We start from the raw sequence: 27,318 nt of genomic DNA on the forward strand, positions 1-27,318 counted from the left end.
TTGGAGGTACTGGATAAGTGATGTTACGCAAAAACAAAGAATTCTGGATGGAGCTTACATTGAGTGTAAAACAACCTAATGAAAGAGAAAACTCTGACAGAGCTGCCTGTCACATTCATCACCCTCTTTGGTACTTTGAGCTTGGATTCCATGTACTCTCTGAAGGTCAATGTGACCTCCAGCCTACGAGGTACTGGAGGCCCCTCGTCACCTGTGATGAGCTGCACTGCTGTCCAATTTAGTTTAACTGCTGGTAGGGGATCATTTTTCTTTTGGAAGCTTCTTGTTTTAGTTATTCCAATCAAATATATCATCTCTTGCTTACTTTGGAGGTTATCTCTGTCTACTAGAATGTCATTCATTACTGCTCACAGAATTTTTATTAATAAATGCTCACTACAGTTCATATTTCTTACTCAAACACATTTAATTTGTGTTCACAGGAAGCTTGCTCTGCTTGCTGTCACTGTTGTTTGCTCTACTGAGGATTAAAGCCACCTATTTATTTATTTCCTCCATTAGCCACCTGAGAGCAGGCTAAAGAGTAGGCAACTAGAAGAAAAAAATGCCTTCTACACCATTATATTTTCCATTTTTCTGCCATTTTCTTATTCCCCCTTCATTCATCACTTATTCTGCCTTTCAAAATACCCATGTTCACTGACCCCAACAGCTAAATAACTTCATAAACTTTCATCTATTTTCTGAAGCTTCCTCCCACATGCCTACCGTGAAATCATTCGCCACCAAGCCACCTCCTCCACAGACATTTTCAGAACAAATGAATACACACAGCCTTTTTTTTTGTTGTTTGCTTTTTTGGCCTAGACAGACCACAGATCCCTAAATAGAAGTAAGAAAATATATTCACTAAAGAACATCAAAACCAAGATACATCACGTACCATGTAAAGCTGGCCACTAAATTGAGCAGTAATTTTACCACAAACAGAAATGATGAATATGTTTTTCAAATGAAAAACTCCTGACAGAGAGGCTATAAAAATCACATTACTATTGTTACATATTCATGTGACTAGAAATGCATCAATAAAGAGACATTCAAGAGGCCATATATTCTATACATATGGAGACCATATGTCTCAAGTTTTCTGGGAAAGAAATATTATGTCCTGTGTACCCATATGCACAGTCATCCTTGCTGGGCCATGTGTCCCAAATTTTGTCTGAGAAAATATGGCCACTATAGCTAACATAAACAGTTACTGCAAAACCCAAGGGATGTAGCTGGTGACGCGTGTAACTACAGTCGCTGCAGCAGGGGTTTTTGAGAGAGAAGGCACAGGAAGCAGCTCCAGGATGCAAGGATAGAGTCTCTTATAATTATCACAGGATATGGAAGAGCAAACAGTACCTTTTTTAAACTTTTCAAAGGTAGTGGTGCAGAAAAGAAACAATTTGAAGCAATCAGAGGCATGTTGCAGCAAAAATGTTTTGCAGCCAGCATTTTCAAAAACATTTGCATTGGAGGAAAGCTCACCCTGGCATTGTGGAATTAGCAATTAAAGAACAGAAATAGCTAGACCATTGTAAATGAAGTTAATGAAGACTTTAAAGGCTGAACACTGACAGTGGCAGACGACAGGCAGCGTGGAGTGACTTGGGGGGGTGCAGCACTCAGACTGGCAATTCTGATGATCTATTCACATGGTCGGGAGTGACCTGGGACAAATGGACAAGAATGGGCTTTTTCCTAGCTACACTGGAGATGACAGGACTGCCTGTTAATATCAGGATTCTGCTGTGAGTTTACCTGACTATAATTTCTTTGCTAGCATGTGTATTTATGTCTAAATTAACCATTGGGTCAAGTACCAATAATTCTTTTTAATACTGTTAGAGCAGGAAAGGGAGAAGGAACGAACAGAGGCAGCTCTAGGGCAACAAAGGTTTATTGAACAAAGATTTGCGGAGGGGGACATCAGCTAGCACCAGAGCCCACACCCCCTTACAGGCTGGGGTAATTATAGTTCCAGGAGGGAGAGGTCTGGGCTTGTTGGGAAATGGGGTGGGCAGTGTGGTTAGCTGATGATAAGGGAGGAATTTCCTGGGGTCAGGCAGTTAGGCCTGGGACTTGTCTGGAAAGTCCCAGGATGTTTCTTATGTGGCCTGAGCCCTAGTGGAATTTTCCATTCTGACCAGGGTTTGCAAAATGGCAGGGGTTTACAAAATGGTGCAGCTTGGACTGTCAAATACCTTCATAAGAAATTAAAGTTAAAAGTTTAGCTTCCGGAATCGTCTGCCCTGCTTCAAGACCCAGCTTCACCAACTACAAAGTGTTACTTAGACTCATTAAGCTTCAGTTTCCTCATCTATGAGATGGAAAAGAATTCTAGTAGCTATCTATGAAATAAAGAATTCAACATGGCCCAAAGAGAAATCTGGTCTTTTCTTTTGGTTCATGGGAGGTGCTCTCTAAGCATTTGGAAAGCCTTAGCATCTTAGTGTCCTGATAAACGTGTCTTAGTTTACCTGGGTGTGTTGGGCCACCCCAGTCTAACAATATGATTTAGGAAGAGGGTTTCTGGTCACATGTATCATCAGTTCAACTTCGAAGGATCTAGAAGCTGAGGTCAGGCATGTCTACATGACCAATCCCCAACAAAAACGCTGGACACCAAGGGTTGCGTAGCTTCCCTGGCTGGCAACATTCTGTGTGGTTTGTCACACATCACTGATGGGAGAAGTTAGTACTGTGACTCTACTGGGAGGAGCAACTGGAAGTTCCATGTTTTGAACCTTCCTAGATCTGCCCTGTGTGCGTCTTCTCCTGGCTGATTTTAATCCTTTTGTTGTAATAAACTGTAACCATGAGTATAATAACTTTCAGTGAGTTTGTGAGCCCTTCTAGCAAAATATCAAAACTGAGGATTGTCTCGAGGACCCCCAAATCTGCAATTGGTGTCAGAAGTGAGAGTGGTCTTAGGGACTGTTCCCTGACTTGACACTACCTCATTCATTTGTTGTGAGGCTTAAGAGACAACCCATGTAAAGTGCCAAATGCACTGCCTGCCACCTGTTGAGTGTGCATAATAAACGTTGCAGCTGCTGCTGTTGTTACTAAAATCCTGAATTGGGAAATCTATAAGTGTTGTTAAGGAAAGTTGTCTTAAAGGGGTTGGACCCAAACAGTGTGTCAGATCACCATTCTCCTCCAGCAGATAGACACATAGCCCCTCAGGGACACTATAAAAAAGAAGAGGGCTAAATGTATTCCCACCTACTTTCAACCGTGACCCACTCTGATTTTTAATATTGGCATTCTTCATAAGATTTCCCTGGAAGAAAGCATTTCATACACAAAAATTACTATAAAAACCACTCTCCTAAGCTAAGTCCACAGAATCCTGCCTGGATGAAACCTTCTTGGTTCTGCACAGCCACATTTTTTTATCTAGTTTTGATGTATACAAACAACAAAACCTTATAAGTAAAGATACATTCAATAAACTACAAGTTATGGTTTTGTTTTGCACAAGCTTCAACTTCTTTGAACAGAAAAAAATCATTTCCACTTGGTGAATCTGGCACCCCAATACAGAACACTGCTGTAGTTTGAATGATGACCCAAAGATAGGGCAGTCGTGTGAACTGACCTGGTGGTTTGGGGAGCCCCTCTCTCCTACCAATTCCCTATAGAGAGTGCAAAGGCATTTTAATGTGCAAGTGAGTGAAGTAAAATGTAATTATTAAATCTGCTGAATCAACAAAACTAGGACATTACAGGACAAATGAAAAATACCCTTTTTCATTATTTTGCACTTCCACTGATTCCCTCTGAAATCATGGATGGTAAAGGATCACACGCACAGTCACACACACAATCACACCATAAGACACAAGTGCTCTAGGATCTTTGCCTTGATGGTGGATGTCAGAAAACATGAGGTTGTGAGACATCCATGAATCATGCTGGGCTGAGAGTTCCTCACTGCTAAATTCAGGATGTTCTACAAAAATCCCTCTGACCTGAGTTGACCCAGATAACCTTTAGACAAAACTCACAGGCAGCTGAAAAAATAGAGCATTTTGCAGGTGACATTGGAAAAACCCATGCATACTGAAGGAAAGGCACAGTTATCCAAATTTTCACCTACATCAAAAGAAACGCTACTAATGAAATATGTGTACTTAGGGGGAAAGCTTTTCCATCGTTTAAACACTGAACTTTGAACAGTTTCAGATAGAAAGACTAGTACTTCTGTAATTAGAATACCAGTCACAAGAAACATGCAATCACAAACTCCATAGTCAAATATGTTTGAGAAATGACCTACTGTATACATTATTTTCTTGGAAGGCCATCATGCATGAGGAGATCAGCTCCTGTCCAAATTCCTGTGTGTGATTTTTTCAGGCATAACTGTAGACAATTACAAAGATGTACCTGGAAGACCCCATGAGGGAAGCCACCCTCCCAACAGGGACCTGGTGCACGCGGCGTCTTACCTTCTCTTGGGGGAGCTGCAGGCCACGCCAGTCATGTGCTTACACATATCTGTACCTAGCCCTGACACCTGCATTCCAAGCCCTCTTTGCCGGGGTCCTACCCAGAGGCTTCCTCAGGCCCCTCTAGGTGACCTCCCTGTGGAGAGAGAGGAGCGGGAATCTTGAAACTATTTCTCCACATTGACTCAGTACTTGATACTTCTCCAGTTCTAGCACTTTTCCAATCCTCCCACACCCTGGCTCCCAGTGCATAAAACTGCCAGAGCCTTTTCCGTTCAGGGCTCCCTCCGCAATGAGATACCCGCCACCCTCCAGGTCTGTGCTGATTCACCTGACCTTCAACCTTGTGCCATTCCATGGGGGAAAATGGGGCAGGGGGTAGTTGGTGCTTCCTCAGGTTCAGCCCCTTGATTGTGCCATCGTTGCAGGAAGGGATTAAAGGCTGCACGGTGACTTTCCTTTTAGCTTATTGACTTCATCAACTACTCCCACACCTGGCAGCTCAGCTAGGCCCCTGGCAATGCACGTAAGTGCATTAGAGGGTCCAAGAAATCTTGTCGTCAAGAAATATACTTAACCAGGCATCTTACAAACCTATTTGACCATGGAGAATTTTTGTCATATGACTTCTATCAATAATGCCCTTTGTGAAATACAGAATTTTAATATAAACTCTGAGATAAGGAAGTCACTGCCCTATAAATTGCTGCAGGCCACTACAGGCCACACAGAGTCATCAGGGAAAATGAGCAAAAGTGCATATCAGAAAATAGGAACTGCCTAACACAGCTCTGGCTGTGTATTTCATAAGCAACTTAACATGAAAAGACGTGACTTTAACCCCAGAACCACATTCACATTAACCGCCTTTGGAAATCACCAGCATCAGCTCTATTCCCAAGTGTACTGTTCGTGAATGCTATACTCAAAGTACAGATTCATACTTATTGACAAACACTTGATTGGTTTGTATAAAGGATTCAGATACTAGAGTAGATCTAACTAGTTCTAGGGTAGAATAACTAGTAAAGTAATTGGCAATCACAGTAGATGAAGGAGGTTACCTGCCCCTTTCCAGAACACAGAGCCAAGGAGGACTCTACCTGGTGGTCACGCTGCCTCCTTTCAATCACACAAGAAAGGCTGAGGGGACCACAGTGTGCAACAAAATGCAGTGCACGTTGAAACTCGGTTAACGCCTATCAGTTGACTCCCTCTCATCCATCACTGTGTTGGGTGCTAGAAGTGGTTTCTGTGGAAGCTGCAGACCCTGCAACAGAGGAGTAGAAAGTCCTAGCAGGGATACAAAGCACACTGATGTGACAATGCCAGAACACATGAACAGGAAGAAGACAGCCAAGAGCCCAGCAGATAGCACCAACAAGAGCTCCAGTTCAGAGAGGTAGATGTCATCGTAAGGTGGAACGTGTTTACAAAACAACAGGGGTCCTCATGCCTTCAAACCCCTGGAGAATGGGAACTGCAAGGAACGGTGACAGGAAGGACTCTGTGGATTTAGCCCTGAGACTGTTTCTCTAATCTGACATCCCAGTGGGATGTAACAGGATATAGAATCGTCACCTTTCAGAAAAGATCCAGGTGCTGAGTCCCCACGCGGCAGTGCTGAGAGCAATTGGAAAAGGGATAAAAGTGAGTCATTAAAATGACAGCATAAGACATTTAGTAGCAACCACATAAAAGGCAAAGATAAAAGTGTATTGAGACTATTAAACTTCATGGTGAGAGCAGAAAAGGAAGCTGGAAAGAGATGGAGCTGATAACAAGGGACTATGAAGGAGGCACCTATGCTCACTGGCTGAGATCAAGACACAGGTGGGAGGGTGGCAAAAGCTTCTTTCCAAGTTGGAATAGAAAGAAACGAGTCATTATCAGAGCATCACATGGTGTAATGAGGAACCATATGTCTTACAGCAACTGATCCAGATAAATTTTAAGTTGGAAAATCCACTAACTTTGTTATCAAGCACCTGTTGAGGGCATACTACAGATGCATGTGTTGACACGGGAGAGAGGTTGTGTTCAAAAAGTGTCTCAAAAAACAAACTTCTGCTATAATTTTCATTGAATTGGTAATTCCTCCCAGCTAGTAATTTTTTTTTTTTTTTTTGAGACAGAATTTCACTCTTGTGACCCAGGCTGGAGTGCAATAGTGCAATCTCAGCCCACTGCAAGCTCTGCCTCTCAGGTTCAAGTGATTCTCCTGTCTCAGCCTCCCGAGTAGCTGGAATTACAGGTGCCCGCTACCACACCTGGCTAATTTTTGTATTTTTAGTAGTGACGGGGTTTCACTGTGTTGCACAGGCTAGTCTCGAACTCCTGACCTCAGGTGATCCACCAACCTCGGCCTCCCAAAGTGCTGGGATTACAGGCGTGAGCCACCGCACCCAGCCCAAATTTCTCAGAATACAATGCTGCCATGCTCCTGTTGGTTGCAGACACAAGAGTGTTCTCAAATGCATTTTCTGCAATTAAGGTGAAAATTACTCCTAGGAAATAAGAAACTAAAATATGCTCTCCACAAACTCAGAGCGGTGCTTAGCCTCAGTCCTTGAATTGCCGAGAAAGTTGCTAAGTGCATAGTCAATGCTTTTTAAAACCTTTTCCCCCCCAATCCAGGGGACTATTATTGTAACAATAGCTATAAAGGCGTTGAGTTCCTCAGAGGACTTTTATATAGACAAGGAGAAAATACAAGCAGCTTACATGATGGTTTCAGCACTGTAAATGGCCTGGGCAGCAGCGGGGCAATCTGAGAGCCCGTGTTTCATGCTTGTGCACCAGTGAAGTGTCTGGCCCTGAGTGGGCACTGGGGTTTGTTTTACAGCTGAGAAGGTGAACCTGCCTACTTATTGGAAACCCCGCACTCAGGGCTGCCCAGCATGCGCGACCTTGAAGTTGACTTCTGAACGTAGGAGACTTTTGAGCAAAAATGCAAAAAATGCATCAGACAGTGGCCTCTTTCCAAAGTAGAACCACGTCAAGTGCACATGGGAGACAGCAGGATTTGCCTTAGAGCAAGGCTGAACCAGATTTGAATCCCAGCTCTGCTGCTCAGTGATTATCCAACCTCACTAAGTTTATCCAAACTTCCCCAGCAGAATAGACATAAAATCAGCTCTCTAGAGTTGTTCCGAAGATGAAATGAGATAATATATTTATTCATTATTCATTGACCCATATTTATTGAATGTCTCCCAAGTGATAGGAGCTGTTTTAGACACTGGAGATGCAGCAGGGATCAAGAGCAGAGTTAATTTGAAGCTTCTGCCCCCGGGACCCCATCTCCATGTTCAGGTCTTCTTCTGAAAGAGGTGACACAGGGCCTGCCTCCCTACCGGCCTCACTTCCCCCCAAGAGGGACTAGCAGATTATTTGATGTGTGAACTCAGAGGAAGCAGCTGCCCCTGGGTGTGGTGCTTTCTCTCTGTGAGTTCTTGGGGCCGATTCTGCTCCTGCTGTGAGGAGCAAACCGGCAGATGGGGTTCAATGAAATGGGAGGGGACATCATCAGAGCCCTGGTGGAGCCCTAGGTAAGACCACATTCCTAATTGCACTGGATCTGTTAAATGCTGATATTTTAATCCTTCTGTTTGGGAGAAGTGTGATCAATTACTACTTTCAAAAACCCAATCTAAGCAAAGGTATCTGCTCTTATAGGGCTCACATTTCAGAAGGATGAAGGAGAAATTAACATGCAAAGAAATATGGTGAACATGGATGTCTTAGAGGGTGATAGCTCCCATAAGGAAATAAAACAGGGATGGAGAGCAATGGAAATGAGGGCTAACATTTTGGAAGGATGAAGCATCTGATCCAGTATAGACACTGGATACACTGAAGTGCCTTCTCTTCCTCTAAACCAACAGTAAATATGGGTAAGATTCCTTAAATAGGTGTTTCTGGATTTTGCAGTATTAGAGGGTTAGTATTTTGAACCTCAGTTACCGTTAGACAACAGGTGTGCAGAGGTGTATGTCAATCAGATTCTAGCTGAGGTATATCTGCATAACAAGTAGTTCCGTTACAGGTAGACAGGCATGAGCGAGGCATGAGAGAGCTCCCCCCGCCACCCACAAGAAGTGTCCGGTGATGGTTAGGCAATTAATGCATTGCCTCTCTAAAAGTGATAAATTGGGGCGCCAGGGAGAGGCCAGTTCCTGATGGTCCACACCTGTTAACACTAAAGTGTTAATTAAAGCAGACTCCAGGGAGAAGCAACTTCCTGGGCATGCACATTAAAAAACAATAATGATAAGTGTGACCTTCTGGGGACACTCCACCAGAAAAGGGAAGAAAGCCTCTGAAGGGCAAGCAACTCCCTAAACGCACCGTGTGTGCTCAATTCCCAAGGGTAAGGAGGGCACTGTGCCTGTGGGCAGCCCACCCTAAGGGGAGCATCACGGGAAAGGGGCCATCCTATAAAGTCCCAGGATCAAGGTAAAGGCCCCCTTTTTTCTCTCTCTCTCTTTGACCTACAGGTGCCCACTTGGTCTCTTCCAAGCAAATTTTCCTTTTTTTCCTGTTCTAAAGCCTTTTCAAATAAACTTTCACTCCTGCTCTGAAACTAGCCTCAGTATCTTTCTCTGCTTTATGCCGCTCAGTCAAATTCTTTCTTCTGAGGAGGCAAGGGCTGAAGATGCTGCAGACCCACATGACTATGCCACCGGTAACTTGGGGTAACTCGGATCTCTTCCACCACTAACAGTTCCGGTCATTCATTCCTTCATTCATTCCACAAATACTCATGTGATTTTTAGGCAAATCAGGGACTAAGTGGGCAACTTAGTCCCTGGTGTATTAGTCTCCCATTGCTGCTGTAACAAACTCCCAAAAACTTAGTGGCTTAAATAACACAAATGTATTGTCTTACAGTCCTGGAGGCTAGAAGTTCAACACAAGTCTCAGAGGGTGACTTTCAAAGTCTCAGCAAGTCTGCAGACCTTTCTAGAGGCTCTAGGAGAGAATCCAGTCCTCACCTTTTCCAGCTTCTAGAAGTGGCCTATATTCCTCGGCTTATGGCCCCTTCCCCCATCTTCAATGCCAGCCACAATGGGTCGAGTCCTCACAGTGCATCATTCTGATTTCCTCTTTTACCTTCCTTTCCCTCTTTAAGAGCCCTCGTGAGTACATTGGCTCCACTCAGATAATCCAAAATAGTCTTTGCACTTCAAGGTCCTTAACCTAATCTCACATGTGAAATCCTTTTTGCTACATAAAGGAAATCTACTCACAGATTCCAGGATTAGGACAAGGCTATCCTTGAGGGGATATTATTCTGCCCATCCCACTCTGTGTCCTGGAACTTTATGTAAATGGGGAATCTGCTACCCGATGTTTCAGGCTGATATTGTCCTGCCATTGTCTCTTTAACCTGACACCACCAGAAGAAGCTCAGACCTTTGTGCAGCTCTGCTTAAAGGAGACCAGGTCGTGTGTTTTCTCTTAGGAAGGGAAGGGAGAGCAGAGCTGCTCGTTTGACTGTTATGAGTGATCTCTCATTTTTGGTAGGAAGAAAGAATAGTAAATTAAAATACAAACCCTGCATCATTACTCTTTATCTACTTGATTACTTAGCATAAACTGACTTTATACCACACAGCAATTTAACCTCAGGATTCTAATTAACATTCATGAATGAATGAACCTTGCATGGTTAATTCATTACATAAAATATTTACTCCTTGAGGTTGTCTTGTTACTTTAATTGTCATCTTGTAGATATTATGTTATTGCAGAGTTTTTAGTAAATCATTCAAGTTCTACAGGATGAGCCAAAGTAACTACCATCAACCCATTTTGTGGCCCTGCGGTTAAGTACTGGAGTAGCGATTTTGTACAACATTTAACTTTTACAATCAGGACAGCCCCTGCTGTCTCATATTTCACAAACAACAAGTGAAGTACCAAGAATAAAATGTCATTATTTAACCACAAAAGTTTGTGTGGAGCTTTAACAAAGCATAAATTAGTCTAAATTTTGAAGGAAATTCTGAAATCAGCATGAGGGGGAAAATGACCAGATGATTTTAGGTAAAGTGGAAGTCTCTACTGAACTGGAAATGCTATCTCTTTTCCTTAGTCCATCAGAACCTGTGCTATGCCAGTCACATTCCCTAAGCCACAAAGACGCCAGTTTGCAAAAGTGGAGATGCCAGGCTCAGAAACCAGAGAAGCCTAGACTGGAAAAGTGCCCCAACCTGGCGGGAGACATGCTATCCAGTATATTTCACCTTCTAACGGTGACAAAAAACTTGGCTCAAGTCTCTTCATATGCAAAATAGAATTAGGCAAAAAACTGAGGGGCCTCGCCAGCTGTCTCTGGATGCTATTATTCTAAATAGGTTACTGAGAGGCTGTTGATTGAGTCTTGGTTCTTTACAAAGTGGATCATGGTCCTGGAGACTGGGACTGAATGCTGGGGGTGTGTTGGTTGCACTCTCTCACTCTGCCTTTCTCCTCTCTTTCCTCCATGCCAAGGTCCAGTTTACTGAGCATCTAAAGAAGATCTAAGAAGAATCAAGGACTCCAAAACATCCCCAGATAAACAGAGCCATTTAGATTTTGCTGAATTTGCTGTATATTTTTACATTTAGCCTTCTCTTTCCCCATTCCTTCCTTCATGTATGAGCCCCTGTACTCATAAACCTGTGTGAATTTATTCATCTTCCTCTTCCCACCTGAGTTATTGATCTGTGAATCTGCAAGTTTGAATTCTTTTCCTTTTCTCCTATGGGAACTTTTCCAGACAGAACTTCTGGGTAATCCTTTCTTATTTCTTCAAGTCTATTCTTCCTTTCATTACAAATTATTCTATTTCTGGACTATCTCTCTTTTCTCGAATAACTTTCTAGCATCTTCCAATAGTATGTTACTAAGAAATAAATTTCATTTCAACATTACGGACTGTGTCCCTAGAGAAACATAGTAGGATTCATTGGGCATATCACTTGAGAAAAACTTTGTGAATGGCTCCTAAATGAGCCTGAAGAGGCTAGACTCTGCATCAGTAATAACCCCCAAATCTCAGTGATTTAATGGCAGTGGATTTTCCACTCACACAGCATGGAGGAGCACCAAGGCATCTTTCTCTGCAGCTACTCATGATCCAGGTTGCGTTTATCTCTACATGTAGTCACCTGGGCTGCTCCAGCAGGGAGAATAAAGGAACGTGGACAGCTCACTGAAGCTCTCGAGTGCCTCAGACTAGAAGTCCCCACATCACTTTGCCTTGTGTCTCATTGCCTGGGACTAGTCACACGGCCCTGCCTAACAGTAAGAAGCCTGGGAAGTGGAGTCTTCTCCGTGCAGAATGCTGAAGGCAAGCAAGGTTTCGGGGAGCACTGCCATCTGCCTAGTAAAGAGGCAGATGGCATTTCCTAGTAAAGAGGAAACTGCCATTTCCTAGTAAAGAGGAAAAATGCGGGTGGCCCCAACAGGAGGCAATCCTAACTTTTCTCCAATGTATGGGTTGGAGATTGTGTGTGTGTGTGTGTGTGTGTGTATCCACTGTGGCTGTCAGAGTAAGCCAAGAAGCCCAGCCCCAAGCTGACAACACAGAGAGACAATCAGGTGCTTTGGGCATCAGAAGGGCTGTACATGGACCTGGAAAGCTGCAGGGCAAGGTAGGGGTCAGTGGATAGTGTCAAAGGACACAAGGGAGGGGAGGGGCGAAAAGCCAGGATAGGAAGATGCCCCACTTCCTCCATCACTCTGGGCATCAGTGGTAAGAAGGACATTCCACCTGCAAACGCCATCAGCTGACTCAACACACATATTCCTCTTGGTTACTTTAACTTGTTAACCACCCTTTCCTGTGACTACTGGCAAGGAGTGTGGCAGCTCCTCACATGTCTCACATTCCCTGAGGAGCTGGAAAGGAGGTGCCACACAGGTGGTATTCTCAGAAATAAGAATCTGCTTAGCTGTATACCTTTGAAATAGATCAATTCTACCAAGATAGACCAGGGAGCAGGTAAAGGTTTCACCTCAGGCAATAGCCCAGGGCACAGTCACACCAGTGACTAAGCTGATCATTAAAGCAGAGGCCTGGGGAGGCAGCACTTCCCTCCACGTGCCAGCCCCAGCGAGCCATGCCAGCCCCAGTGGGGTTTGCCTGCCCCAGCTCATGGTGCTTCTCTGCTCAGAAGAGCACAGGGCACACTTCTGTTCTCCTGCACCTCCTGCCTCAGGAGGATCTGGTCAGAGGATAACTAGAAGCTTCTCAGGACAGCCTCCAGTTCACTGGGAAGTAGCACAAAGTAGTGGGAGAGAATTTCCCAGCGAACACACCACGTGGTACCACCTAACTGTATCAAAAGCTGGAAGTCCTTTACCTACTCAGGTGTGTGGTAAAACAAGGATTTCCCTATCAGCCATATAGAACTCTTGCTTCTAACATGAGCAGCAGAAAATCGAGGGCAGCTGTCTGCATTGCATTGAGTTGGCTGGGTGCCTGCTGGATTAGAACACTCCAGGGCAGGACTTGAGAAACCACAGCAGCGTGGCTGGGACACTGTGATACCCACCCATGGATGGTATCTTCTGGCTCGTGCAGCCACCCTGAGCCAATCAACTATGGCCACAGTAACAGCTGGGTTTGCCCATATCACAAACCAACAGTTGCAAAAATAGCACAAAATATCTTTAAGCAATCAATAACTATTAAAAAGTCATTTTGTATGTGATAGCTTCTGAAACTTGATGTGTTCAACCTTGATCCACCCAGCAAACTGAGGATCTGGAAGTGCATTAGGTACACCTAATCCAGGGTGTTATGAACCTTGGAAGATTAACCACCATACAGACAGCATGTTGCCTGCCCTCAGGGAGTTCTGCACCTGTGATTTTACCAACTGAACAATTTTCTATTTACTAATGAGATGAGATGGCTATAAATTCACAGTCATGCACCTTACTAACTGGTAAATCTACCAACAGCATGCTTATTGAAATAATCTGTCTCTATTACTGTCAAGATACATTAAGATGATAATTAATCTCCAAAGTATTATTTCTCAGATACTATCCTAAGAAAGGACACATCATCATTTCTGCCAAGACACAGCCAATTTCTTGCTACCTATACATCCCTCCCTATTCTTCTATGTGGATCCATTCCCAAGGTCCACATAAAATCCCGTCTCTTCTCTAATGCCTTCTCAGACCAGCCCAGATGCTCTTGTTTTCTGAACTCTAATAGCATAGACTCCTTGTGTAATTAATTTACTCGCCATCCTTTCATGTAATTTTATCCTACCGTGACCACTGGAGCATAAAATTCTTAATGGCAAAAGTTTCTATCCATTGTATCTAGCATAATATTTTACCAAGGGTAATGTTTAAAAAGTACTTAGTTGATTGAACTAATTAAAAGGAATGGGGGGCCATCAGCAATAGTATATGATAATAACAGGATGGAGCTAGAGAGACTCCTCAGTCTTAGCTTGGCACCTTACCAGTGGTTTGACCTTCGGCAACTTCTCCCTTTTCAATGTTGGCTTCTATATCTATAAAAAGGAAATAATAATGCCTATGTAATGGGTGATTTTCAAGACTACATAGATACTAACATTTTTGAAGATGCTACTAGTTAGCTACTCAACATAGATTATCTTATTAGCAAAAATTCTAGTTTTGTTTAACTTGACAAAATACTCACAATACTCACCCTCACTGACTCAGTACTAGCCAGTGAGGCAGATGCGAAGTTTTGCTAAGTATTTCAGAATTTTTTTCATGAAATGGACACTGCTTCTTTCTTTTTCCTCCTCCTCTTTTTCCCCATTCTACTCCTTTTTTCCTTTCCTCCTACTCCTGTTCATTTTTGTCTCTGCATTCATCTTTATTTTCTTATTTTCCTGCCCAAAATGTGGGTGTGAGGTTGGAGGAAGTGCCTCTATCTCATACCTATGAGAGGAAAATTATCATTAATTCAACAGACATTATTGAGAGCCTACAATGTTCTCAGCATCTCAGGGCACAAAAAGACAAAGCTAGAACTCACATTCTCATGGGACATGGGTAGCAATAAGCAAATATACTAGGTAAATGCTACAGTATGGTAGATCCTGATAAATACTGCAGGGGCAAGGGAACAGGAAAAAAAGACTGGCTGCTGTGGGGTCAGTAATGATTATAAATAGTGTGGGAAGGGCGGACCTTCCAACTTGGAGGTGACTTTTGAGCACAAACTTAAAGGAGATCAAGCAGAGAGCCAGGCCATTGCTCAAGGGAAGCACCCCAGCAGAGGGGACAGCCAGTTCCCTGAGGTGACCCTAAAAGGGTGGGTGGCTTCTAGGAACATCAAGGAGGCATTCGGGAAGGCAGTGGGGTCAGAGTGTACAAGGACCAGCCCTCGTGAGGGGTGAGCCACTGGAAGAACTCTGGCTTCTTCACCAACTGGAATGAAGAGCCCTTGAAGGGTCAGCAAAGGGGTGACATTTCTGACTAATGTTTCCAGGTCATTCCAGCTACTACATGTGAAGGAACTATAGGGTGGCATGAGTAAAAAGAAAGCTTTTGCAATACCCATGGAAAATTAGGGCTGGTTGAGCCAAGGTGGTGCCAATAGAGAAAATGAGACGTGATTTGACTGTGGATATATCTTGAAAGTAAAGTCAGCAGGATTTCCTAAGAGATTGGATATGGACTATGAGAGACAGAGAGATATGAAGAACAGCCCTTCTGAAGTTAGGGCCTGAAGAGCTGTGAGGATAACACACTGGGGAAGCAGCTTTTGGTGGGAAAGGTCAAGAGCTTCATTCTGGAAATGTTGGGAGTTAGATGAAAATAACATTTGGGGCAAGAGCTAAAGGAATACTATCATGGAAATGCAGTAGTGGGTGTATGAATCAGAATTCAACCAGAGAAGAAAAACCAGTAGGAAAAATATGCATCCTGCTAGTATGTATTTGTTACATCTACATATAACAAAGTATTGACTTAATTATGGGAACTGGCTAAGAAGCCTGAAGTCCACAGGACAGGCAGCCAGCAAAATCACACACAGACAGGACCTCATGAACATGCTCTGAAGCTTCTTGGCCACAGGCAAGCAGGTAGGAAGGAATACCAGGGCAGGCTGGAGCCCCACAAGCACAAGCTTGGAATCTCTGACTTCAGGAAGGACTACCTTTAGAAGACTTCCATCTGATGAGGTCTGACCCTCCCAGGATAATCTCTCTTTTGATTAATTCAAAACTAAACTGATAGAAAACTTTAGCTACATCTGCAAAATCCATTCACAACAGCACCCAAGATAGGGTTTGACTGAATAACTGGAAGAAGGTGTATGCTGCTCAATAACCACTTCCCCTTTCGTAGCCCACACTAATTGGAAACATACTAGAGAGGAAATTCCCAGGAGTATGGCTCAGCCTAGCCAAGCTGACACATCACAGCCCCATCACAGTGTGGAAGGTCCAGGTTCAAAGGCCAGCTCTGTACTACCTCTGTGAATTTGGAAGATGCTTGGATTCCATTACTTCATCCATAACTGAGGATAATGACAAGTCCTTCAGGGCTATTTATGTAATTAGCTCAGTGTATGGTAACATACGAAATGCTCCGTGAGGCATCATCAACACTGTGTGTGTGTGTGTGTGTGTGTGTGTGCATACATGTGCATATGTGTGTCTGTGTGTGTGTGTGAAAGAGAGAGAGCACACACACATGCGTGTGCTTTGGAACAAGTATCTCTCTTTTCTTAACTCCAGCTGACTTCCTTGTCATCCTCTGGGATAACTCTTTAAAATTCAAGAATTATCTTGCCCTGAACACTTCAAAAAGATACTTAACTTCAATGTGAAAAGCCTTTCCAGATGCATTTCTGGCCATGCTTGTGTTTTATTATCCACCCATAACTTGATCTGTTGCAATATGTTCCCTCCACTTAGCTTTTGCTGAAACTCTTCTCTCCATTCAGCCCCTCCAAAGAGAAAACTGGCTTTTTGTATTCTTTCACTTCTATGGGCTGAGTAGAAAATTCCAGCAAATCATGAGTTCTTCCAAGACTCACCTTCCAATCAGAATATGTTTACCTGAGTGAAAACTTACTAAAATAGAAAATGTCAACTCACTTCTTTCTTTTTTCAACGTTTCTAATGATTCTAGATTTATATTTTTAAGTTCTAGCATTAACATGCCATATAGTACTTATGGTGAGAAGCACGATTGTCCTGGGGGATGATGGTGGTCACACACAGGGGCAGATCCAGGCTTATGGAATGTAGTAGTCAGTTCTCAAACTGCTATAGAGAACTACCTGGGACTGAATAATTTATAAAGAAATTAGGTTTAATTGACTCACAGTTCCACAGGCTTAACAGGAAGATGGGAGGCCTCAGGAAACTTACAATCATGGCGGAAGGTGAAGGGGAAGCAGGCACATCTTACATGGCGGAGCAGAACAGAGAGAGAGCAAAGGGGGAAGTGCCACACACTTTTAAGCCATCAGATCTCATGAGAATTCACTCACTATCATGAGAACAGCAAGGGGGAAATTCACCCTCATGATCCAATCACCTCCCACCAGGCCCCTCCTCCAATTCATCATGAGATTTGTGCAGGAACATAAATCCAAACCATATTATTCTCCCCCTGGCCCCTCCCAAATCTCATGTCCTTCTCACATTTCAAAACCAATCATGCCTTCCCAGCAGTTCCCCGAAGTCTTAACTCATTCCAGCATTAACTCAAAAGTTCACAGTCCAAAGTTTGATCTTAGACAAAGTAAGTCCCTTCCACCTATGAGCCTGTAAAATCAAAAACAAGTTAGGTACCTCTAAGATAAAATGGGGGTACAGGCATTGGGTATATGCTTTCATTCCAAATGGGAAAAATTGGTCAAAACAAAGGGGCTATAGGCACCATGCAATTCCAAAGCCCAGCCAGGCAGTCATTAAATCTTAAAACTCCAAAATAATCTCCTTTGACACCATGTCTCACATCCAGGACACACTGATGCAAGGGGTGGGCTCCTACGGCCTTGGGAAGCTCTGCCTGTGGCTCTGCTGGGTACAGCCCCCACAGCTGCCTTCACTGGCTGGTGTTGACTGCCTGTGGCTTTTCCAGGTGCATGGTGCAAGCTGTTAGGGGATCTACCATTATGGGATCTGGAAGACAGTGGCCCTCCTCTCACAGCTCCACTAGGCAGTGACCCAATGAAGACTCTGTGTGGGGGCTCCCACCCCACACTTCCCTTCCACACTGCCCTAGCAGAGGTTCTCCTTGAGGGCTCTGCCCCTGCAGCATACTTCTGCCTGGACACTCAGGTATCTCCATACATCCTCTGAAACCTAGGCAGAGGTTCCCAAACCTCAATTCTTGTCTTCTGTGAACCTGCAGGCTCAACACCACATGAAATCCACCAATGCTTGGGGCTTGCACCCTCTGAAGCAATGGCCTGAGCTGTACTTTGGCCCCTTTCAGCCATGGCTGAAACTGGAGCAGCTGGGTTGCAGGGCACTTTGTACTGAGGCTACATGGAACAGCTGGGCCCTGGGCCTGGCACACAAAACCATTTTTTCCTCCTAGGCCTCAGGGACTGTGAGGGGAGGGGCTGCTGCAAAGGTCTCTGACATGATCTGGAGACATTTTTCCCATTGTCTTGGCTATTAACATTCAGCTTCTCTTTACGTATCCAAATTTCTGCAGCTGGCTTGAATTTCTCCCCAGAAAATTGGTTTTTCTTTTCTACCACATGGTCAGGCTACAAATTTTCCAAACTTTTATGTGCTGCTTCCCTTTTAAACTTAAGTTCTAATTTCAGACCATCTCTTTGTGAACATGACTATATGCTGTTAGGAGGAGCCAGGCCATCTCTTAAACTCTTCACTGCTTAGAAATTTCTTCTGCCAGGTACCCTAAATCATCTCTCTCAAGTTCAAAGTTCCAAAGATCTCTAGGGCAGGGGCAAATTGCCACCAATCTCTTTGCTAAAGCATAGCAAGAGTGACTACTTCAGTCCCCTGTAAGTTCCTCATCTCCATCTGAGATCAACTCACCCTGGACTTCATTGTCCATATCACTATCAGAATTTTGGTCAAAACCACTCAACAAGTCTCTAGGAAGTTCTGAACTTTCCCACATCTTCCTGTCTTCTTCTGAACCCTCCAAACTGTTCCAACCTCTGCCCATTACCCAGTTCCAAAATCATTTCCATATTTTCAAGTACCTTTATAGCAGTGCCCCACTCCTGGAACCAATTTTCTGTATTACTCTGTTCTCACATTGCTGTAAAGAAGTACCTAAGACTGGGTAATTCATAAAGAAAAGAGGTTTAACTGATTCGCAGTTCCACAGGCTTAACAGAAAATGGATGGGAGGCCTCAGGAAACTTACAATCATGCAGAAGGTGAAAGGAAAGCCAATATGTCTTACATGGCAGAGCAGGAAAGAGAGAGAGAGTGAAGGGGGAAGTGCCACACACTTTTAAACCATCAGATCTTGTGAGAACTCACTCACTATCATGAGAACAGTATGGGGGAAACTGCCCCCATGATCCAATCACCTCCCACCAGGCCCCTCATCCAATTCAACATGAGATTTGGATGGGGACACAAATCTAAACAATATCATGAAGGCTTCTCAGGGACCCGAGACCCACAGCACTGCTGCAGATGGATGCAGTCTGTGGCAACTCTCTCAGAATCTTCCCCGTGAGCTTTTGAGAACCAGCCCTGATGCTTCTTGCTAAGATCTTCAGTGACCTTCTGGTCACAGCTCTACTACTGAACTCCCCTGACTCGTCTCACTTCTGTGTAAATGGAACTCCTATATTGAATGACTCTGTTTTTCTGTTCAACCCTACTGATACTGCAGCATTGAGCACCATCAGCGCCTTTGCCTCCATCCCAACTCTCAAGGGAATGTTGGCCAAGCTCCAAGCCAAAAACACTAGGTCCATGTTTATCCTGGGTCCTCCAGATCATGGCAATTTTGTCACTAGTGGAGTTATCCCTCCGTTTCCCCAGGTGCTCCACACTAGTTAATCCCAGTTTGTTGCTTCAACTGATGTATTCACTGTAGCAAACTGTTAGAATTGCTCAAAGTTTATCACTTTAATTACAGGCCTCCTATATTAACCAACAAAAATTATTCACCTAGAGTTCCTCAGGTTCTTGTGTGTGTGTGGGTGTTTGTTGTTTCAGTATTTTCTCTTACTAGAAAGGTGAGGTGCAAAATTGTCCCAGTTGAGAACTACTGCCTTAAGGTCATGGAAAACCAATGCAGGTGGCTCTGGAAGGAAGGGAATTCCTGCACCCAGTGCCTGGACTTATGCTAGGTGCTTCATAAATATTGAGTGAATGAATGAATGAGCCTCCTGGGGCCCCTATGGCATATATGTTTGGGGCCTTGATATGGTTTGGCTCTGTGTCCCCACCCAAATCTCATCTCGAATTGTAATCCTCATGTGTCAAAGGAGAGACCTGGTAGAAGGTAATTAGATCATGCAGGCAGTTTTTCCCATCTTGTTCTCATGATAGTGAGTTCTCATGAGATCTGATGGTGATCTTAAAAGGGCCAGTCTCTCTTTAGCTCTCTAAAAATCAGGGGAAATTTTGAAATTGGCCGTTTCCCCTTAGCTTTCTGTCTCTCCTGCTGCCACGTAAGACTGTAAGACGTACTTTGCTTCCCCTTCACCTTCCACCATGACTTTAAGTTTCCTAAGACCTCCCCAGCCATGCAGAACTGTGAGTGAATTAAACCTCTTTCCTTTATAAATTACCCAGTCTCCAGTTGTTCTTTATAGCAGTGTGAAAATGGACTAATATAGGCCTCATCCAGAAGAGCCTGGGCTGCTAATTAAGTTGTAAGATCACTGCTAGTTAAGGCAGAGGAAAATATCTTAAATGCAGAATTTTGTCAGAAAAAAATAGCTCCACTGCTCAAAATCTATTTCTCCATAGTTGCTTCCATGCTTTAAATACAAATGTCTCGCAGCAAAGGGCTGCCTGGGGCTGAGACTGACCTGGTTGGCTCATTTGGGTGTTAGCCTTTCCATAGAGAAATTCACAGAGAGAGGAAATCCATGTCCATTGGGTCCACCAGGCAGATTTCACACTCCAGTGTGCTTCACAATTACGACATATTTTCCCCAATGGACAGGGCTTTATGTGGAGTAAGGAACACAGCAGATTAATTGTGTTAGTTCTTAGGACTAACTAACTAGACTTCAGAATAGAAAAATTTCCAGATTCATTTCATGCAAATGCAGGGGAAAGCTCTCCATGAAGCATGCACCTTCTTGGCTCTTACTGGCAAAGCCTGTGAGTGAGTTAAGGAAATCAAGCTTTCTCTGTTCTAAAAGCACAACATAAGGCACCCCCCGAGTGTGTACTTTCTGTTTACAGTGGCCATGGCACATCAGTGAAGGGGGATGGTATGTCTTGTTGAAATCACAAAAATACCTGGACTCACTAAAAGGAATCATTGTGATAACAGGAGAAAGTATTTATTTAAAATTGTGTAAGAGAAAACTGAAATTTTTATTGCCTGCACACACACACACACACACACGCGCGCACACACACACACACACACACACACACACACGTGTACTTGGAACCCCAGGCTGAAAGCCTCAGAAAAAGAAATTATAAGCATAGACTCTTTAATAGAATGAGTGCAAAGTCAGCTTTTCAAAGGAAATCCAGACTTTACATAAACATTATTATCATGATAATTAACTGATTACTCTAAGGAAAAAAGATTTGCCAACCAAGTGCCTTCTCTGGTCTGAGTCAGAGAAAAATCTGTATCTACCCACATGATTGTCATGGATGGCGAATCTGTATGGGCCTGCAGCAACCTCAGTTCTTGCCTCCTCAGAAGAAAGAATTTAGCCGAGGGGCATAAGGCAGAAGGAGAGACCAAGGCAAGTTTTCCAGCAGAAGGGAAAGTTTATGAAAAAGCTTTAGAGCAGGAATGAAAGGAAGTAAAGTACACTTGGAAGAGGGCTGAGTGGGAGACTTGAGAGATCAGGTGCGTGGTTTGGTCTTTGGACTTGGGGTTTTATACACTGTCTTGCTTCCAGGGTCTTGCATTGTTTCTCCCCTGATTCTTCCCTTGGGGTGGACTGTCTGCATGCACAGTGGTCAGTTAGCACTTAGGAGGGGAGTGTGTGCAGTGTGATTACTGGAGTTGTACGCATGCTCACTTGAGGCATTCCTCCCCCGCCAGTCTAGCATTCCTGCAGGAAGGTCATATACCAGTTAAACTCCATCCATTTTGCCCCTTAGTGCACATGTTTGAGCCCACTCACCCAGCTCCTGAGACCTCATCAGGAAGCTGCTCATCACCAGCTTCAGGTGTTTCTATCTATTGAGAGACTGCCTTTCCCTAGCGCTGACTGTGACCAATTATTATTTTAGACAGAGAGTTTAACAACCACCTGACCATCACCTGATGGTCGCCTAACATTTCTGGTGTTGGTGGGGGGCAATGGAGCAGGGGGAGCCCTCTCCTGCCCTGCTCATGCCTGACTAGCTACCTACTTAACATGATGATCTGGTAAAACTCAACATCCCATAAAATGCAGGACACTAGAAGTGTTTTTGTTATTATTTTTTCCTATATTTACTAAGATCTTGTTTTCTTGGTGACTGTACTGGACAATTCTTCACACTGAAAATAAAAGCCCTTATTTTATCTAACTCTGAGGTCAGATTCTTCAGTGTATGTTTGACCAAAAATGTTTTGCTTTTTTCTTTTTGAAAGAAGGCCGGGTGCTGTGGCTCAAGCCTGTAATCCCAGCACTTTGGGAGGCCGAGGTGGGCGGATCACGAGGTCAGGAGATCGAGACCATCCTGGCTAACACGGTGAAACCCCATCTCTACTAAAAAAATACAAAAAATTAGCCGGGCGCGGTGGCGGGCACCTGTAGTCCCAGCTACTCTGGAGTGTGAGGGAGGAGAATGGTGTGAACCCGGGAGGCGGAGTTCACAGTGACCCGAGATCACACCACTGCACTCTAGCCTGGGCAACAGAGCGAGACTCTGTCTTAAAAAAAAAAAAAAAAAAAGGAAGAAAGAAAGAAAAAGAAAGGGGGCATTTTATGTCTTTAAAGTAGACTCAACACAGACATCAACTGGCTCTGGGACCCTGGCTGAGAGGGATCTCAGTGCCATCTCCAGAGGGAGGCAGCCTGCAGAATCACAGCTCTCATCAGTTCCTCCCAGCCTAGAATGGAGGGCACGTCTTTACTTCCAGCTGCCTGTCCGTCTGCCCACGAGCTCAGCATTCGAGTCCAAACCTTCCACACCACAGCCATGCACTAACCATGCAGAGAGAAGGCAGTTCCTGCCTCACTGGCCCAACAGGCTAGTCAAAGACACCCCAAGATACACAAAGATATTTTATATTTCTCAAAATATTTCACCATAAAGTTCCTTTCACTCCTGTCCACTTAGAGTTCCAGTGCTAGAAAATGAGGCTAAAGTAACTGTGACATTCTTCCCCCTTCAAATTCATTTCAATCCAAAATAGGGGTAGCAATTCGATTTCAGCATTTATGCAAGTTGTTTTCTGGTATTTCTCAGCTAGTAACACTTAGACTTATTTTTTAAGTGTTGTGTACAATATAAAAATGAAAAATAGAACAGAGGAGAGTATCTTTGTCACCTTGAGGTAGGAAAAGATTTCTTAGGACTTTATGGCTAAAAGCACTAGCCATAAAAAAATGGTTAAGTGTTAAATAACGATTAAGCACACCATGAGGAAGACAAAGGGACACAATTCAGAATGGGTGGGATACTCCCACACATAAATCTGGTAAGGGTCTTGTATCTAGAGAATGTGCAGAAAACCCCAACAGTTTCACAATAAAAATAACCCAAACTTTTTAAACAGCGAAGACTTGAACAGACATTTCACCCCAACAAATGAGATGGTACGAATGGCTGATATATGAGAAGATGCCCACTCATCATCAGGAAATAATACAAATTAAAACGATCATGAATGCCACTGGCTCACCCTACAACAGCTAAAATGTAAGACTGGCCTGATCGAGCATTGACTCTCCCATGGAGCAACACTACCTCAGGCCCTGCTGCTGAGTGACAACCGCACAGCCACTTTGGAAAACTACTTGGCAGTTACTGAAACACACACTTACCCTGTGGACTCAACACTGCCACTTTAGGGACGTGACTAAAAAGAAAGAAGACATATGTCCACAAAATACTTGTATATGCATGTTCATTGTAGCTTCATCATTGCCTCAAACTGTTAACAACCCAATTATCCATCAATAGTTGAATGGATAAACAAATTGTTTTTTCATAAAACTGCATGCCACACAGTGATTAAAGAAAAAGAATCTATTACTGATTCATGAAATAACACAGAGGAACTTTGTAGACATTACATACAGCAAAGTCATGCACAAAAAAGTATAAACTGTATAATTCCAATTATATGAAGCTCTAGAATTAGACAAACCAAGCTATGATGATAAGAATCTAAATAGTGGTTGCCTTAGGGAAGGTGTCAATTGTCTGGAAGGGAACAGGAGGGAACTTCCTGGGATGATGAAAATAATTTATATATGCACAAGGCAGTCTCAAAACTCCTCACACTTACAATCTGGGCATTTCATTATATATAAATTATAATCTGAGTAAAAATAAAAATTGCTGCAGCTTCTTTGTATTTCGAAGGGTCGGTTGATGATCTTTAACTTGCCCACAACTTGATTTAAAATTTTAAAAATCACACAGAGAAAACATTTACAAGCCCACAAATAATGATCTGATTGGTATTTATAGATTCCTTTCTCATTCTCCTAACTGTATTTTTTGGTTCTGGCTGCTAGTCACAGAAGTAGGAAAATTTATTAAAGTCAAATTTATGCAGAGGCTGAGTCTACACTAACAGTGTACCTCGATTACTTATTGACCACATATTATGTACAATGTGGCTACATAAAATTTCTTCTTATGAAATTGTGATGCTGTTAATCCACTGTCACTAAGACATGTCACTTCGATCATAGTACACATTATTTCCTTTTATTTATATAAAGTTGTGAGTGGACAACCACACTGCATGCATAGCAAGTAACAGGGTATTCAACAAAGCATCCAGCAAAGGTGATGATGTATGTATTGACTATTCCTTCTGCCTCGGGGTAATTAGGTGCAAATAATAGTTTACTTTCATGTCTAGATAGTTCTATTTCTTCTTCCACACTTTTAGTTTCTCAGAATGTGAAGTCTGCATTCATATAATCTATGTTCCCGACAAGCCGTATCTTTCAATCACTGCATGCAAAGACATAAACATGTCTCGCGTGCTTTGGAAGGCCTTGTATCTCCCTCTTACACACATGGGAAATCTTCCTCTGCACTTGTTAAATGCCAGTAGAGGGGGATAGAAATGCTTTGTTTTATAAATATTAGTATTGTGACACATTAGCTCTAGGTACTCAGGATAGTGAGAGAACAATTCATGTGGATTGTCTGTGTGAAAATCTTATTGAGAACGGTTATCTTTGTTTTGAGAACCAAGAAATCTCAGCATATAACCATGGGGTCTAAACCTTTGTGCTAAGAGATAACCAAGCTAGTTTGGCTTCTAGCAGCAGAAAGCCACATCCCTAGGATGAACCCATCCCTGCTTAAAATGCCTCCCTGAGAAAGCTCAAGGCTGCTAGGACAATTTACTGTTCCAGCCACACCCCATATGAGCCCTGACCTCCCTTTCTTAGAGGGCTTATGGAAAGGGCTTACAACAAGCCCATTCCCAAGGACCAGAGAACCACTCCCTGGCAACGGGGGAAACGGGGCCCTCAGGAAGGACGGGGTCTCCGTGGGAAGATGGATCCTGAGAGGCGACTGCCCGCCAGGGGGCACAGCTGGTTTGGTGGCCTGGACACTGACCACCCTTTGGACTTTTTCCACGTTTCCTCGCTCTCCCCTCTCCTCTCCCTCATTCTCTCTCTAAAACCTCCAAATCACCTCTGCACAAATGAAAATACAGCCGGCCCCTTCCCCTACTGTGAATAGTTACTGAATAAAATGTGTTTTTACTGCTTTAACTGATGTCCAGCTGTGTTCATCTTTGACAGTCTGCATACCTATTTGGCCTAGCATTTTCCTTTGGTACAAAGTTAATATTTTTGCTAATCACGTTCTACGGTTGGAATTATAAGAAACCTGAATTTCACCTCCTCAGCCTTAGGATAATTCTCACAAATATGCAAAATGATCAGACTCTTGGCCTCTAACTGTATAATTCCTTCTTCAAAGTCTCCCAGTTACTTCTGGGGACCCTGAGCAAGCACACCCGATTCTGAAGAACAAGGCTCTGAGCTCTTCCCCAGTGTCTGCTCATGGGGGCCACAGAGGATGAGCCCAGAAACACAGCTTCCAGTGCCTCCTGGGCCCCTAGCACTCCCCCAATCGCACAACCATCTGGGTGCTCCTTGTGGATCTCAGGGCAATACTCTTTCCCCAGTGAGGGGGCTTCCTTTTCCATGCAGAGCCAAAGTCACACGTCTCTCAAAGTCCCTCGTGATGACAACCACTGGGTATCTGGGGCAGCCCCTCTTTCCCGGGTCAGCCTTTGAGTCTCCTGGAGGCACCAGCAGACAAGGTGGTCACATTAGTCTCATAAAGACTTACCAATGTGTTAATTTTTCTTGAAATATATAGGTTTGTTTCCTCAGTTCTGTTTATTTCTTGTTATTCATTTTGGCTATTGTTTTCTTTTAACCTCATTTATTTTTCATTGCTTTTATTATTTAATGCAAATAGTTGGGATAAAATCTATTTTTTAAGTACTGTTTTGGTGGCAAGTCTTTAGTGTTGATATGTGATATTTATATTTTCACAATATTTAACTACTCTGTGGCTGTATTTCTGATCTCTTACAGGACCAGACATTATTTGAGTTTTTTTTAATTCTATGGAATTAAGTACCCTTAAATTTCATCATTATTCATTTCTAATTCTACTTTACACAATGAGCCTCGCCCTCTGTGAACATTTCAATCCATCTTCCTTCTCAGATGTTTCACCTGCTCAAATCTCCATGGTCTCTGTGGTCTCTGTCTTTGGCCTCAGGGGTGGCTTAGCAAAAGTTGGAGGTCTTGGGTGTTGGAAACATTCGCCCAGCAGGTGGTGGGAAGAAGAGCCCACCTGGGTGGGCTTCGATTCATCAATTCCATTTCCCCGCCACTGTCTTCCTTAGAAACAAGACAAGAAGTTACTCTCATTTCAATATTTCAGACTTTTCCATCTTTCTCTTTCTGATGATTTCACGTGTTTGTCCTGCCTGTTCTATTTTCCTTGATGATTATGTTCTTGGAGGTCGCTGTTTGCAGACTGCTCTGTAATAGACCTTGTTGAAATGTGCCTGTTTCGTGGTTGTTTTTAGTCCAATGTCCATTGTTCTCCTTTCTCCTGGTTAGCTTTTCATCCTTTCCATTTATGCCAATTGTAATGAGCAGCTATTATGTGCTAGGCACATTTTAGGCATTGGTAATATAGCGGCAAGCAAAGCAAACTTTCTTCTATCATGGAGTTGGCCTTTAAGTGGGGAATACAGGGAATAAACACGGTATGTTGGCAAGTGACAAGTGCTACAGAGAATGAAGCAGGGCTGGAGAGAGCACATGGGCGGTGGGAGACATCAATACAGGGCTGCCAGAGGATGCCTCTCAGGACACATCTGAAAGAATTAGAGGTTTCCACAACTGCTGGTCTGAGTCTCCTCTGGAATCTGTGTTTGTCAACGGAATCCCTATCTTTTCCAGGCCCTTTTGTTTCTCTTCCACGGCAGCATGTGTCCTATCTGTGAGGCACTTGCAAGAGCTTCCGTGTTG

General features: G+C 43.5%; 1 long non-coding RNA gene across 1 annotated transcript; it reads left to right on the plus strand.

The window, feature by feature from the left end:
- The first annotated feature begins 1,291 nt into the window (after nucleotides 1–1,291).
- LOC124904358 (uncharacterized) lies at nucleotides 1,292–11,389 on the plus strand. Its single transcript, XR_007066470.1, has 2 exons — nucleotides 1,292–1,763; nucleotides 10,968–11,389. It is a non-coding gene; the product is annotated as an uncharacterized LOC124904358 (long non-coding RNA).
- The last annotated feature ends 15,929 nt before the right edge of the window (nucleotides 11,390–27,318 follow it).

The sequence above is a fragment of the Homo sapiens genome, chromosome 18 (assembly GCF_000001405.40).
Source record: "Homo sapiens chromosome 18, GRCh38.p14 Primary Assembly".
NCBI classification, from domain to species: Eukaryota; Metazoa; Chordata; class Mammalia; order Primates; family Hominidae; genus Homo; species Homo sapiens.